At 38.9% G+C, this 15,935-nt stretch overlaps 4 annotated features.

Annotated features, from left to right (window-relative positions):
• Positions 6,709–7,542: an enhancer, noted in NCBI's record as "OCT4-NANOG-H3K27ac hESC enhancer chr13:56685906-56686739 (GRCh37/hg19 assembly coordinates)". NCBI's record gives its function as "activates a minimal SCP1, AML or CMV promoter by ChIP-STARR-seq in naive H9 embryonic stem cells {active_cell/tissue: H9 hESC(naive)}" and the evidence as "EXISTENCE:reporter gene assay evidence [ECO:0000049][PMID:30033119]".
• Positions 7,543–8,375: an enhancer, noted in NCBI's record as "OCT4-NANOG-H3K27ac hESC enhancer chr13:56686740-56687572 (GRCh37/hg19 assembly coordinates)". NCBI's record gives its function as "activates a minimal SCP1, AML or CMV promoter by ChIP-STARR-seq in naive H9 embryonic stem cells {active_cell/tissue: H9 hESC(naive)}" and the evidence as "EXISTENCE:reporter gene assay evidence [ECO:0000049][PMID:30033119]".
• Positions 9,477–10,301: an enhancer, noted in NCBI's record as "H3K27ac hESC enhancer chr13:56688674-56689498 (GRCh37/hg19 assembly coordinates)". NCBI's record gives its function as "activates a minimal SCP1, AML or CMV promoter by ChIP-STARR-seq in primed H9 embryonic stem cells {active_cell/tissue: H9 hESC(primed)}" and the evidence as "EXISTENCE:reporter gene assay evidence [ECO:0000049][PMID:30033119]".
• Positions 10,302–11,125: an enhancer, noted in NCBI's record as "H3K27ac hESC enhancer chr13:56689499-56690322 (GRCh37/hg19 assembly coordinates)". NCBI's record gives its function as "activates a minimal SCP1, AML or CMV promoter by ChIP-STARR-seq in primed H9 embryonic stem cells {active_cell/tissue: H9 hESC(primed)}" and the evidence as "EXISTENCE:reporter gene assay evidence [ECO:0000049][PMID:30033119]".

Raw genomic sequence — 15,935 nt, forward strand, 5'->3', positions numbered from 1 at the left:
CAGAGCTCGTGAGACTCACTCACTATCACAAGAAAAGTATAGGTGAAACCACCCTCATGATCCAATTACCTCTACCTGGTCCCACCCTGGGCACCTGGGGATTATGGGGGTTACAATTCAAGGTGAGATTTGGATGGGGACACAGAGCAAAACCATATCAACTATAACTGAGCGTTTCAAGGATTTTCCTTGTTAGGTATCAGGAGGGCTAGGATTTTGGTGATGAAGGGCTGTCTGGCAAGATGAGCAGCCTAGGCATTTCTTCTACTCTTCTGCTCTTCATATTATTTTCTTTTTCTTTCTTTCTTTCTTTTTTTTTTTTTTTTTTTAGATGGAGTCTTGCTCTGTTGCCCAGGCTAGAATGCAATGGTGCGATCTCGGCTCACTGCAACTTCCGCTTCCCAGATTCAAGTGATTCTCCTGCCTCAGCCTCCTGAGTAGCTGGGATTACAGGTGCCCGCCACCACGCCTGGCTAATTTTTGTATTTTTAGTAGAGACAGGGGTTTCACTATGTTGGCCAGCCTGGTCTTGAACTCCTGACCTCAGGTAATCTGCCTGCCTCGGCCTCCCAAAGTGCTGGGATTACAGGCGTGAGCCACCAGGCCCGATCTCATGTTATTTTCTTATACTCATCTCTTAATGAAGCATTAGAGCACACAAAGTCCTTTAATGCATTGACTGTTCTTACATGAGATCAACAACCTGCCTTGATTTTAAAGCAATTCTAAAATTATTGTCCAACCAAAAAGTTGATCTATTATTTTTGTGTACAGTAACCATTCTGTCTCCAGCTAATTGACAAGCTTTGGTGAATGTGTCGATTTCAGCTTTCTGAGCAGATTTTGCCTCTGGCAGAGAGTCATATTTTAGGGATGAAGGAGTCATTCTGTCAAAGAATGTACCCACTGATTTTTTTTTTAAGTCTTATGATTAACCAATAATATAAACATTGTAAAGACTTTTCTAATAAATCTACCTGAATCATAGTTCATGGATAAAGGTTAGATAATCTTGAGTTTCCTTTTCTTCTTATAATGGAATAAAAGTAGCAGGAGCTTTGAGTATTACAATAAGGAATGAAAATGTGTGAGAAAATAAAATAATCGAATTTTAGAGGAGGTAAGCCTACTTGTTGATAAATGCGTATTTTCAGCAATCAACAAATGTAAAATATAAAGGACAATCAAGTATAAAGAAGATTCTGGAATAATATTGTCAGAAGGCTTTGCTAATTTGTCTGCCATGATTATTACCCTTAAACACAATTGGTTGGCTTTTGCCACAGAGTCAAGAAAGAGACTATATAGTTTGCTTTTGGTCATTCCCAAATCATTAATCCAGAACACTAAGGGCTCATCCAAAGAAACTCTCATGTAGGAATAGATAGAATAGTTTACAATGATTAGGTAAGTCCATATCCAATGTTTTGAAGAACTAATTTTAGCTCTCTTTCATATATATACAATCAGTCTCTCTTTAGATTTTCAAGGAAGAATCTCAGATACCAAGGACTTGGATAAGTCACATAGGTTTTGGTGACTGAGAAAAATTTAGACCCACTCCCTGCTGTAGAAAATAAAATCTAGGATTTGTTTAACCATCCCTGTTATTGGCTTGAGGAAGTTATGAATAGCTTATAGTCTAAGAAACTGACTTACCTCCTTAGAATAAATCATGCCTAGGTTATAAACTTTACTTAGAAAAATTAGGATTTAAAAAAAATCTTACGATCTTTCTAAACTAAAATACTAAATACATATATAAAATCAGTTGCAGAGCTATCATTATCTTTAAAACACAACGAATAGTCATACACCTATGGAATAAGGGCAGAAATATAGGGAAATTATTATTTCTTATTTGAGGAATTGTGAGAGGATTTCTTATTATACTTATGGGGCATAATAGTCTGCTTTAGTTTCCCACCCCCAACCCCTACCCACCCCCAGGAGAAGGCAAAGAAATATTGGTTATTTTGATCTAATTCTAAAGAGATACCCCAAAAAGCAGCACAGAGATCTACAACTGCAAAATATGTAGAGTCACAGTCAGGAGGTACTAACAATATTCAAATTCTGGCTTTGTAATATAGCAAAACAAAATGACTATTATATTGATTTATGACCCTCGGGTCATAAACAAACCTATATCTCTGCCCTTCCCGTTGTGTGTTTGACAGGGAGAGCAGAAATACTATAAGAACTAGGGAAAGTATGATAGGCCTAGTGTTGAATCTGTACTTCAGATTTATTGCTGAATAGAAATGGTAAGATTGGATATTTTTGCTTGATGCCTGATCTAGGTATAAAGCATTCGGTCTTTCACTATTAAGTATAATTTAATTTTATGTGGCTTATTTGTAGATGCCCTTTTATTAGGTTAGATAATTCCCTTCTGTTCCTATTCCTAAATTTTTTTAATCATAAAAGGGTGATGGATTTTGTGCAATGATATTTGTGTCTATTGAAATGATCATGTCTATTTTTGTCCTTAATTCTATATATTATGTATTAAATTAATTTATTTTGGGATGTTAAATGTACTTTTAGATGCCAAGAAGAATTGCCACTTCATCATTATATGTATTCTTTTTAAAATTGTTGCTGGTTTAAGTTTGCTAGCATTTAGTTGAGGATTTTTATGTCTATATTCATGAATGATATTGGTCTGTATTTTTCTTGTGAAGTCTTTACTGGGTTTTGGTATCAGGGTAATAATAACCTCATAGGATGAACTGCAGAGTGTTCCATCCTCTTCTATACTTTGAAAGAAACTGTGAAATGTTAGTACTAATTATTCTTGAAATGTTTTGTAGATTTCAACATTGAAGCCATCTGGCCCTGAAATTTTATTTTGTTGTTGGAAGTTTTAAAATTATTATATCAACCTTTTACTCGTTTTAAATCTATTCAGATTATCTATCTATTCTTCAGAAGACTTGGTAGTTTGAATCTGTCTAGGAATTTGGCCACTGCATCAAAGTTATAACTTGTTAATATAGAATTATGGATAGTATTATTTTACTATAATTTTTGTATTTTTATAAAGGCAATAAAATGTCTTTATTTTCATTCTTGATTTTGATTCAAGTCTTCTGTTGTTTTTTTTTTTCCTCTTGGTCTAGCTAAAGGTATTTTATTATATTTATTTTAGTTTTTCAAAAATACGTTTTTATTTTATTAATTTTCTCAAGATTTTTAACCATTCTCAATTTTAATAATATCAATTTTAAACTTTTTTATTTCCTTTTGATGGTTTTAGGTTTAAATTTCTCTTCTTTTTCTAGTTTTTGTGGTGTAAGCATAATTATTAATTCTTTGTCCTTATTTTTTAACATAGGAGTTTATATTTATAAAGCATGACTTTTTTTTGCATAAGGTTTCGTATGTTGTGGTTTTATTTTTTTAATGTCAAAGTATTTTTAAATTTCCCTTATGACTTATTCTTTGACTCATTGGCAATTTGGGAGGGTATTTTTAATTTTTACATACAGTCACTTGTTACATAAGAATGTTTTGGTTGACACAGGACTTCATATATTACTGTTGTCCCGTAAGATTAAAATGAAGTTGAAAAAATTCTGTTCCCTAGGGATGTTGTTGTTGTCATACTGTTGTAGCATATAATATACTTATCTTTCTGTGTTTAGATATTTAGTACATGAATGCCATTGTGTTACAATGTTTAGATATTTAGTCCATGAATAGCATTATGTTATAATTGCTACAGTATTTAGTGCAGTATCATGCTATATAGGTTTGCAGCCTAGGAGCAACAGGCTATACCATATAGCCTAGTTGTATAGTAGCCTGTATTAATTAGGTTTCTCTGAGTACACCCTATGATGTTTGCATAACTACAAAATCACCTAATGAGCCATTTTTCAGTGCATATTCCTATCATTAAGTGATACATGACTGTATTGTGAATTACCTAAGTTTACCTATCATTTGATGTTTTACTTAATTTTATTGTGGTCAGAGCACATAATACATATGATTTTAATGTGTTTTAGTTCATTGAGGCTTGTTTTATGGTATATTATGTGGTCTATTTTGGAGAATGTTTCATAAATACATGAGAAGAATATATATTCTGCTGCTGCTGGGTGGGGTGTTCTGAAGATGTTTGTTAGGTTTAGTTGGTTTATAGTGTTCAAGTCTTCCATTTCCTTTTTGATCTTCTGTCTGGTTGTTCTCTTATTTAAAGTAGGCATTTAAGTCTCCAACTATTACTTTTGAATTATTTATTTATTCCTTTAATTCTGTCTGGTTTTACTTTATGTATTTTGAGTCTTTGTGTTAGAGGCTTGCATAATTTATTGTTATATATTCTTGATCAATTGACCTTATTATCATTACTATAAAATATCCTTTTTTGTGTCTAGTAGCACTTTCTGTAACTACTTATATAACACTTTTAGTTACTTAAGGGAACTTTAACATTTACAGTCTAGTTTATCTGATTTTAGTATAGTTGTCCCAGTTCTCTTTTAAATACTCTTTCCATACTTATACATTCTTTCATTATTTTATTCATTCTATTTCTGATAAGCTCTATATTTTCATTTTAGTGGCCAATTTCCATTTAATTTAATTACTGAAAAGGTAGGTTTTATGTCTGTTTTTCTGTTAATGATTTCGATATGTCTTCTGTCATCTTTGTTCCTTTATTTCTCGATCCCTTCTTTCTGTGTGTGTGTTAAATAGATATTTTCAAGTGCACCCTTTTATTTTGCTTTTCTTTCCTTTATCTTTTTGAATTATTTTCTTAGTGGTTGCCTTGAAAATTAAAATTAGCATCTTAAAACAATCCATTTTGGAATGACACTAACATAATTTCAATAATATAGAAGAACTTTGTTTAAATATTTTATCATTCTCTCCCTCTTTTTTTTCTTTATTGCCATATAAGTTGTGTCAGGCCTCTGAGCCCAAGCCAAGCCATCGCATCCCCTGTGACTTGCACCTATATGCCTAGATGGCCTGAAGTAACTGAAGAATCACAAAAGAAGTGAAAATTCCCTGCCCCGCCTTAACTGATGACATTCCACCACAAAAGAAGTGAAAATGGCCGGTCCTTGCCTTAAGTGATGACATTACCTTGGGAAAGTCCTTTTCCTGGCTCATCCTGGCTCAGAAAGCACCCCCACTGAGCACCTTGCAACCCCCACTCCTGCCCACCAGAGAACAAACCCCCTTTGACTGTAATTTTCCTTTACCTACCCAAATCTTATAAAATGGCCCCACCCCATCTCCCTTCGCTGACTCTCTTTTCGGACTCAGCCTGCCTGCACCCAGGTGATTAAATGCTTTATTGCTCACACAAAGCCTGTTTGGTAGTCTCTTCACACGGACGCGAGTGAAAAGTTGTATATGTATAAATTTTAAGACTATCAGTGCAGTTTTATGAAGTTTATGTAGTTGTCTTTTAAAATAGAAAGAAAAGGACATTATTAAAACTATAAATATGTCTATATTTTCTTTTGTAAATTCTTTATAGTTACCTTTACTGGAGATCTTTATTTCTCCGTGTGGATTTGACTTACTGTATAGTGACTTTTCCTGTAACCTAAAGAATTCTTTTCAGTATTTTTTGTAGGACAGATCTACCAGCAAATATTTATCCCATGTTTTGTTTATCTGGAAATATTTCAATTTACCTTTTATTTTTGAAGGAGAGTTCAGCTGAATTTAGAATTTTTGACTGGGGATCTTATTCATGAAAAATCATTCTTTTTACAGCTTGCAAGACTTTCCTTTGTCTTTATTGTTACTGCGAGTATTATGACACTATGTGAAACACTCTGTCAGTTTTTGTTTGTTTGTTTTTGGTTTGCTTTTTTCACTAGAGATAGGATCTCATTGTGTTGCCCAGGCTTGTCTTGAATTCCTGGACTGAAGCAATCCTCCTGCCTTGGCTGTCTCAATTACAGGCATGAACTATTGTACCTGGCCTCAGTTTAGTTTACTATGACGTTGATGAGTTTGTTTTATGTGTACATTAATATTTGTCGTCATATTTAGAAAATTTTCATCAATTTTTTTCAAATATGTTTTATGTCCCCCTTTCTTTTCTCCTTCTGAGAATTCCAGTATGTATTTGTTGATACATTTTTTTAAGTTCAGCAATTACTTTTTTTTGCATTTTAATTTTCAAATTTTTCTAATTATAATTGGTACGTAATAGATGTATATATTAATGGGGTGGCATGTGATGTTTTGATATAAGCATATAATGTGTAATAATTTTATCAGGGTAATTGAGGTATCCATCAACTCAAGCATTTATTATTTCTTTGTGTTAGGAACATTCTATTTCCACTCTTTTAGTCATTTAAAAATATACAGTATAATATTGTTGACTAAGGTCACCCTGTTTTGCTATCAAATACTAAATCTTATTCATTCTACCTTACCATATTTTTACACCCATTATCCATCACCACTCCCTCCCCGACCCCCACCACACCCCTACCTCTTTCAGCCTCTGCTATCATTCTACTCTCTATGTCTATGTCCATGAAATAAATTGTTTTAATTTTCAGTTCTGCATATGAATGAGAGAACATGCAAATTTGTCTGGCTTATTTCACTTAATAAAATGTCATCCAGTTCCCTAATGCTGTTGTAAGTCACAGGATTTTATTTTTCATGACTGAATCATATTCCGTTGTCTATAACACCTTTTCTTTATCCTTTCATCTGTTTATGGACACTTAGGCTGATTCCAAATCTTGGATTTTGTGAACAATCCTGCAATAAACATAAGAGCACAACTATCTCTTCGATATACTGATTTCCTTTCTTTTGGATGTATACCTAGCAGTAGGATTGCTGGGTTGAATAGTAGTTGTATTTGCATTGTTTTGGAAACTTCCATACTGTTCTACACAATGTCTCTCCCAATTTACATTCTCACTAACAGTGTATGAAGACTCCCCTCTCTCCACACCCTTGCCAGCATTCATTATAGCACGTATTTTGGATAAAAGCCATTTTAACGAGTTCTGATGATACCTCATTGTCGTTTAATTTGTATTTATCTGATGATTAATAATGTTGAAAAATTTTTTTTGTATACATGTTGGCCATTTGTATGGCTTCTTTTGAGAAATATCTATTGAGATTTTTTACCCATTTTTAATTCGAGTTATTTAATTTTTTCTTATTAGTTTTTGAGCTTCTTATATATGCTGATTATGAATCTTTTGTCAGATAGATGGTATGAAAATATTTCCCCCCATTCTGTGGTTTGTGTCTTCACTTTGTTGATTGTTTCCTTTGCTGTGCAGATGCTTTTTATCTTGATATGATCCAATTTATCCATTTTTCTTTTGTTGCCTTTCATGCGCGTCTGTGTGAAGAGACCCCCCAAACAGGCTTTGTGTGAGCAACATGGCTGTTTATTTCACCTGGGTGCAGGTGGGCTGAGTCCAAAAAGAGTCAGCGAAGGGAGATAAGGGTGGGGCCGTTTTATAGGATTTGGGTAGGTAAAGGAAAATTACAGTCAAAGGGGGTTTGTTCTCTGGCGGGCAGGAGTGGGGGTCACAAGGTGCTCAGTGGGGGTGCTTTCTGAGCCAGGATGAGCCAGGAAAAGGACTTTCACGAGGTAATGTCATCAGTTAAGGCAAGGACCGGCCATTTACACTTCTTTTGTGGTGGAATGTCATCAGTTAAGGTGGGGCAGGGCATATTCACTTCTTTTGTGATTCTTCAGTTACTTCAGGCCATCTGGGCAAGTCACAGGGGATGAGATGGCTTGGCTTGGGCTCAGAGGCCTGACATTCCTGCCTTCTTATATTAATAAGAAAAATAAAACAAAATAGTGTTGAAGTGTTGGGGTGGCGAAAATTTTTGGGGGTGGTATGGAGAGAGAATGGGCGATGTTTCTCAGGGCTGCTTCAAGCGGGATTAGGGGCAGTGTGGGAACCTAGAGTGGGAGAGATTAAGCTGAAGGGAGGTCTTGTGGTAAGGCGTGATATTGTGGGGATGTTAGAAGAAACATTTGTCATATAGAATGATTCGTGATGGCCTGGTACGGTTTTGTATGAATTGAAAAACTAAATGGAATAACAGAAGGAGAAAAACAGGTATAAAAGGTCTAAGAATTGGTACGACTCAGGATATCTGATTAGAGAGTGCTTAAGGAGATTCGGCATAGTCCTGCCAGCAAAGATTATTTATTTACTTCAAGAGTTAAGAGTGGCAGTTTGGGGATAGCACCAGGAGATATCAGCTGTGATGGCTTGGAAAAACAGTGTAAACCGGCAGTGTAAACAAGAGCAAGGCATGTATGAGTAGTTGAGAACGGTGAATAGGAGTATGACTAGACAGAAAATAGTAGGGATGACAAGTTTTTTTTTGGCGGGGGGGTACAGTCCAAGTTGGTCTGGTGTCTGGAATGAGACTGGGGCCTAATAAAAAGGAGCGTCTATACAGGAGCTTAAATGGACTGTACCCTGTAGCATTCCGAGGACAGGCCTGAATTCTGGGAAGGGAAAGTGGTAAAAGTATTGGTCCTTTTTAAGTTGGTGGCTGAGCTTGGTGAGGTGTGTTTTTAAAAGACCTTTAGTCCATTCTACTTTTCTTGAAGACGGAGGACCATAAGGGATATAAAGATTTCACTGAATACTAAGAGCCTGAAAAACTGCTTGGCTGATTTGACTAATAAAGGCTCGTCTGTTATCAGACTGTATTGAGGTGGGAGGGGTAAACTGAGGAATTATGTCTGACAGAAGTGAAGAAATGACTGTGGTGGCCTTCTCAGACCCTGTAGGAAAGGCCTTTACTTATTCAGTGAAAGTGTCTATTTAGACTAACAGGTATTTTAGTTTCCTGACTCGGGCATGTTGAGTAAAGCTAATTTGCCAGGCCTGGGTGGGGGCAAATCCTGGAGCTTGATGTGTAGGGAAGGGAGGGGGCCTGAATAATCCCTGAGGAGTAGTAGAATAGCAGATGGAACACTGAGAAGTTATTTCCCTGAGGATAGATTTCCACGATGGAAAGGAAATGAGAGGTGCTAAGAGGCAGGCTAGTGGCTTGTACTATAGCATAACCTGCCTTTGCTGGTGTGTGGCGATTAGGCCTGGTGGAACCGCCATCAATAAATCAAGCGTGATCAGGGTGAGGAACAGGAAAGAAGGAAATTTGGGGAAATGGGGTGAATGTCAGGTGGATCAGAGAGATACAGTCATGGGGGTCAGGTGTGGTATCTGGAATAATGTGGGAGGCAGGATTGAAGTCCAGGCCAGGAACAACGGTAATTGTGGGAGACTCAACAAAGAGTGAGTATAGCTGAAGGAGCCGGGAAGCAGAAAGTACATGCATCAGGTATGAGGAAGAAAATAGATTTTGGAAGTTATGAGAACTGTAGAGTGAGTTGAGCATAGTTTGTGATTTTGAGGGCCTCTAAAAGTATTAAAGCAGCGGCAGCTGCTGCACGCAGACATGAGGGCTAGGCTAAAACAGTAAGGTCAAGTTGTTTGGACAGAAAGGCTACAGGGTGTTGTCCTGGCTCTTGTGTAAGAATTCTGACCGCACTAACCACGCCTAGGAAGGAAAGGAGTTGTTGTTTTGTAGGAGGTGCTGGGGTTTGAGAGATCAGTCAGACATGATTGGCAGGGAGAGCACGTGTGTTTTTATGGGAATTATGCCGAGATAGGTAACAGATGAGGAAGAAATTTGGGCTTGATTGAAGTAATGGGGGCTGTCTGTGAAGCTTTGCGGCAGTACAGCCTAGGTAATTTGCTGAGCTTGATGGGTGTCAGGGTCAGTCCAAGTGAAAGCGAAGAGAGGCTGGGATTAAGGGTGCAAAGGAATAGTGAAAAAAGCATGTTTGAGATTTAGAACAGAATAATGGGTTGTAGAGGCACGTATTGAGGACAGTATATGGGTTTGGCACCACAGGGTGGATAGGCAAAACAATTTGGTTGATAAGGCGCAGATCCTGAACTAACTTGTAAGGCTTGTCTGGTTTTAGGACAGGTAAAATGGGGGAATTGTAAGGAGAGTTTATAGGCTTTAAAAGGCCATGCAGTAGCAGGCGAGTGATAACAGGCTTTTAATCTTTTTAAAGCGTGCTGTGGGATGAGATATTGGCATTGAGTGGGGTAAGGGTGATTAAGTTTTAATGAGATGGTAAGGGGTGCATGATCGGTCGCCAAGGAGGGAGTAGAGGTATCTTATACTTGTGGGTTAAGGTTGGGGGATACAAGAGGAGGACGCAAAGGAGGCTTTGGATTGGGAAGAAGGGTGGCAATGAGATATAGCTGTAGTCCAGGAATAGTCAGGGAAACAGATAATTTAGTTAAAGTGTCTCAGCCTAATAAGGGAACTGGGCAGGTGGGGATAACTAAAAAGGAGTGCTTAAAAGAGTATTGTCTAAGTTGGCACCAGAGTTGGGGAGTTTTAAGAGGTTTAGAAGCTTGGCCATCAATACCCACAACAGTTATGGAGGCAAGGGAAACAGGCCCTTGAAAAGAAGGTAATGTGGAGTGGGTAGCCTCCGTATTGATTAAGAAGGGGACGGGCTTACCTTCCACTGTGAGAGTTACCTGAAGCTCCGCATCCGTGATGGTCTAGGGGGCTTCCGAGGTGATCCGGCAGTGTCAGTCTTCAGCCGCTAAGCCGAGAAGATCTGGGAAGGAGTCAGTCAGAGAGGCTTGGGCCAGAGTTCCAGGGGCTCTGGGAGTGGCTGCCAGGTGAGTTGAACAGTCCGATTTTCAGTGGGGTCCCACACAGATGGGACGCAGCTTAGGAGGAATCCTGGGCTGCAGGCATTCCTTGGCCCAGTGGCCAGATTTCTGGCACTTGTAGCAAGCTCCTGGGGGAGGAGGTTCTGCAGGAATGCCTGGCTGCTGCGGTTCAGGTGTTTGGAAGTTCTTGTGTGCTGGAGATGTGGCTGGGGTTTGTCTCACAGTGGATGCAAGGAATTGCAACTTTTTTCTGTTATTGTACACCTTGAAGGTGAGGTTAATTAAGTCCTGTTTTGGGGTTTGAGGGCCAGATTCCAATTTTTGGAGTTTTACTTAATGTCGGGAGCAGATTGGGTAATAAAATGTATTTTGAGAATAAGATGGCCTTTTGACCTTTTAGGGTCTAGGGCTGTAAAGCGTCTCAGGGTTGCTGCCAAACAAGTCATGAACTGGGCTGGATTTTTATATTTGATGAAAAAGAGCCTAAACGCTATCTGATTTGGGATAAAGAAAAAGGAGCATTAACCTTGACTATGCCTTTGGCTCCAGCCACCTTTTTAAGAGTAAATTGCTGGGCAGGTGGGGGAGGGCTAGTCACGGAACGAAACTGTAAGCCGGACCAGGTGTGAGGAGGGGAGGTGATAAAAAGATTATAGGGTGGAGGAGCAGAGGCTGAGGAAGAATTGGGACCTAGCTCGGCCTGGCGAGGAGCAGCCTGGGGAGGAAGGGAGAGGTCAGATGGGTCTGCAGAAAAGGAAGATTAGAAAGACTCAGCGACGCTTGGGGTTGGTACTGAGGGGACAGGTGGGAGGGAAAGAAGGAAGATTTGGGACGAGTTGCACTGGGCACAGAGACTAGGAAGGGACTGATGTGTAAAAGAATGCCTAGACGTCAGGCACCTCAGACCGTTTGCCTATTTTACGACAAGAATTATTTAGATTTTGCAGGATGGAAAAATTCAAAGTGCCATTTTCTGGCTATTTGGAACTACTGTCGAGTTGGTATTGGGGACAAGCAGCATTGCAGAAGAAAATAAGGCATTTAGGTTTTAGGTCAGGTGTGAGTTGAAGAGGTTTTAAGTTTTTGAGAACACAGGCCAAGGGAGTAGAAGGAGGAATGGAGGGTGGAAAGTTGCCTATAGTGAAGGAAGCAAGCCTAGAGAAGAGAGAGAGTAGAGAAATGGAGGGAAGGGGTTCGGGGGTTCTTACCTCCCAGAAAAGTGGGAAAAGGGGTTGGGGCACAGAGATAAGAGGTCAGGGCACAGAAATAAGGGATTGGGGCACAGAGATATAAGAGGTTGGGGCGCAGAAATAAGGGATTGGGGCACAGAGATAAGAGGTCGGCGTATGGAAATAAGGGATTGGGGCGCAGAGATAAGAGGTCGGGGTATGGAAATAAGGGATTGGGGCACAGAGATAAGAGGTTGTGGCGCAGAAATAAGGGATTGGGGGTTCTTGCCCCGTAGAAAAGCGGGACTTGCCGCTAAGGGTGAAGGAGAAAGGGTTGAGGGGTACTTGCCCCTCTCCCAGAAAAGCAGAGAAGGGGTAGAGACAAGGAGAGAAGGGGTTGGGGTACTTGTCCCTTCCTCAGAAAAGCGGGACTTGCCGCTAAGGGTGAAGGACCAAGGCAGGTGTCCCTGCGTGGTCTGACACCCTTGAAATGTGGGTGTATAATCAGAGAGGTGTCCCTGCAATGATTAAACACCAAGAGAAGGCTGCCTTCCCAGTCCGTGACTGGCACCGGAGTTTTGGGTCCACGAATAAAATGCATCTCCTTTGTCTCTCCTAGAAAATGAAAGGAATTGAAATTAAGAGAAGGGAGAGATTGAAGATTGGAAAGGAGAAAGTGGTTGAGGGACAGTGAGAGAGGTTGGAGAAGAGAGTAAGAAGAGGCCGCTTACCTGATTTAAAATTGGTGAGATGTTCCTTGGGCTGGTAGGTCTGAGGACCTGAGGTCATAGGTGGATCTTTCTCACGGAGCAAAGAACAGGAGTACAGGGGATTGATCTCCCAAGGGAGGTCCCCTGATCTGAGTCACGGCACCAAATTTCATGCGCATCTGTGTGAAGAGAGCACCAAACAGGCTTTGTGTGAGCAGCATGGCTGTTTATTTCACCTGGTTGCAGGCGGGCTGAGTCCGAAAAGAGAGTCAGTGAAGGGAGATAAGGGTGGGGCCGTTTTATAAGATTTGGGTAGGTAAAGGAAAATTACAGTCAAAGAGGGTTTGTTCTCTGGCGGGCAGGAATGGGGGTCACAAGGTGTTCAGTGGGGGTGCTTTTTGAGCCAGGATGAGCCAGGAAAAGGACTTTCACAAGGTAATGTCATCAGTTAAGGCAAGGACCAGCCATTTACACTTCTTTTGTTGTGGAATGTCATCAGTTAAGGTGGGGCAGGGCATATTCACTTCTTTTGTGATTCTTCAGTTATTTCAGGCCATCTGGGCGTACACGTGCAAGTCACAGGGGATGCGATGGCTTGGCTTGGGCTCAGAGGCCTGACATTGCCTATGCTTTTGAGGCATTACTCAAGAAGTCTTTGCCCAGACTAATGTCCTGGAGAGTTTCTGCAGTGTTTTCTTTTAGCAGTTTCATAGTTTGAGGTCTTAAGTTTCAGTCTTGAATCTATTTTGATTTGATTTATATATATGTGAGAGATGGGGTCTAGTTTTAGTTTTCTACGTATGGATATCCAGTTTTCTTGGAACCATTTGTTAAAGAGACTGTCCTTTCCCCAATGTATGCTCTTGGTAACTTTTTTGAAAATAAGTTAACTGTAGATGTGTGGATTTATTTCTGGGTTCTCTCTTCTGTTCCTTTGTTCTATTTGTTGAGTCTGTGTTCATTTTACTTTGCTGTTTTTCTTTCTACTTCTCAGACTGGATATTCTCTACTGACTATTTTCAGTTTCCAGGTTCTTTCCTCGACTATTAAAAATCTATTGTTAAACCTCATTCATTTTGTTTTCATTTCCGTTATTTTACTTTTCTTCTTTATAATTTCTATTTGACTTATCTTAAATGATTTGTTTTTAAATTTTAAAATGTTTTTCTATTTGTAAGATATTGTAATTATACATTCCATAGATATAGTTTTTAGTTCTTTGACATATCCATAACAGCTGATTTAAAGTCTTTTTTTATTGAGTCCAAAATATTACCTCCCCAGCAGGACTTTCTGTTTGTTTCTTTTGTCTCGGAAAAAGTAAAACATGTAAGAAATACTTTATTCAAGGCTACCATAATAGGAGTGAGAGACCAGAATGTAGTCTAAACTCAACTCTGATAAAATAAGAGGCAGGAGGAGTTTTAAGAGCTGGGGATGAGGTGGATCATAGGCTGTATTTGATAATTGGTATTACACAAAGGTAAAGCAAACTTTCTCATATCTTTATGGGAGTGGGTAGTTTTACAGCTTGGATCAAGGTATCTATTGAAGTTAGGCTTCCTCTGTCCCACAGAAACTGATAAATAGTGCTATCTTTCTTGATGACTACTTTCAAAGAGGTAGCTTCCAGGTCATTGCAAAACAGTCCTGGTTATAATACTGACAAGAAGCTGTTTAAAAAGAAGTCTATCTTAGTGTGGCTAAGATGAAGGAAATGTTAAGGCTGGCTTGATCAATGATCAGCCAATGATTGATCAAATCTTTCTTAAATGACTATGTGTCTTACTCTCTGCAGTGGAGATCTATGTGCAAAGATACCTCTTCAAACTTCAGGCAGTTTACAAAATAGTCTTAGCTTTTACTTGCAGTTTTCGCAACACTTTCAAGCCAACTAGAGGTGAGTGAGTGGTGCCTTTTCCTTTCCCAGGTCTTATATGGGTGAGAATACAACTTAACGGCCAGGCATGGTGGCTCACGCCTGTAATCCCAGAACTTTGGGAGGCTGAGGCAGGTGGATTCAAGAGGTCAGGAGATCGAGGCCATCCTGGTTAACATGGTGATACCCCATCTCTACTAAAAATACAAAAAATTAGCCGGGCGTAGTGGCGGGCGCCTGTAGTCCCAGCTATTCAGGAGGCTGAGGCAGGAGAATGGCGTGAACCTGGGAGGCGGAGCTTGCGGTGAGCCAAGATCGGGCCACTGCACTCCAGCCTGGGCAACAGAGCGAGACTCTGTCTGGAAAAAAAAAAAAAAAAAACTTAACCTGGGATCCCCAGAAATATGTCAGAGATTTTCAGGGTTCCCTATTGTCATCAGGATTTCCTTTTAAATTTCTGCACAGATTCTTGTTTTCCTCAAATGAAATCACAGCCTTATGCAGGTAAATTTGCTATGATTTCAGGTAATACCCAGAGACCATAATTACCTCTGCCCCACCTTCCTACTACCCACTGTGCTGAGCTCTGAGTCAAATCAAATAGCTACCATATTCTCAAGGTAGAGATTTTCCTGAGGGTTCTAAGTTCAGACAAAAGATTGACAGTATTCTGGGTATAGTGCCTTTAACGAAGTTCTAAAAAAAAAATTCTATTTGTTTTCTGCAATGCTACTGTCTTTTGGCTATGACATCATTGAGCTGGGGAGGGAGAATATCTGGGGAAAGCCTGAAGAGAAATTTTATAGAACCTACTCTCTTACAGAGATTTAGTAATTTTTATTGCACACATAATTTTCAGCTCATTCTATAGCTTTGATTAATTGCCAGAATTGTGATATGATTAATTTAATTGCCTTTCCCACATTTTTGTTGTTGTAGAAAAATTGCAAGTTCACCGAGGTTCTCATTCAGCCATTCTGGAAGTTAATTTTTTAATGTTGTCCTTAAATATTTTGAGAAGATTGTCTTTTTAAGTTTAAGAGAACAGGAAAGCATGGTGTTTAATTTCCTTATTACCATCCTCATTGGTCACAAATTCCTCTTATATTCTTTGGCAGTACTTTACACTATTTTAAAAATCAATATCCCATTTACAGTATCTAGAGAAAATGTTTATTGACTAGGGTGAAAAATTTTATTTTATTTTTGTTTTGTTTTTATCTGTAAAGCTATCAGTCTATCTGAATGCTATCCTGTTTTGGTTCTAGGACTCTCAAAAAGTTCAGAAAGGTATTGGAAGATTGGTAATGAGATGACTTCTGATTTCAGTTTTTCTTCCATATTTAATTTTCTATTTCTTACTTAAAACCATTAGCAAAACTTGAGGAAAGCACCAGATCATACATATTTTAGGATTTACTCCTGAGCAGTGTTTATTCAAAAATGGTAAAGACCTTCCCCTAAAGTCTTCAGCATATTT

The sequence above is a fragment of the Homo sapiens genome, chromosome 13 (genome assembly GCF_000001405.40).
Source record: "Homo sapiens chromosome 13, GRCh38.p14 Primary Assembly".
Classification (NCBI taxonomy): domain Eukaryota; kingdom Metazoa; phylum Chordata; class Mammalia; order Primates; family Hominidae; genus Homo; species Homo sapiens.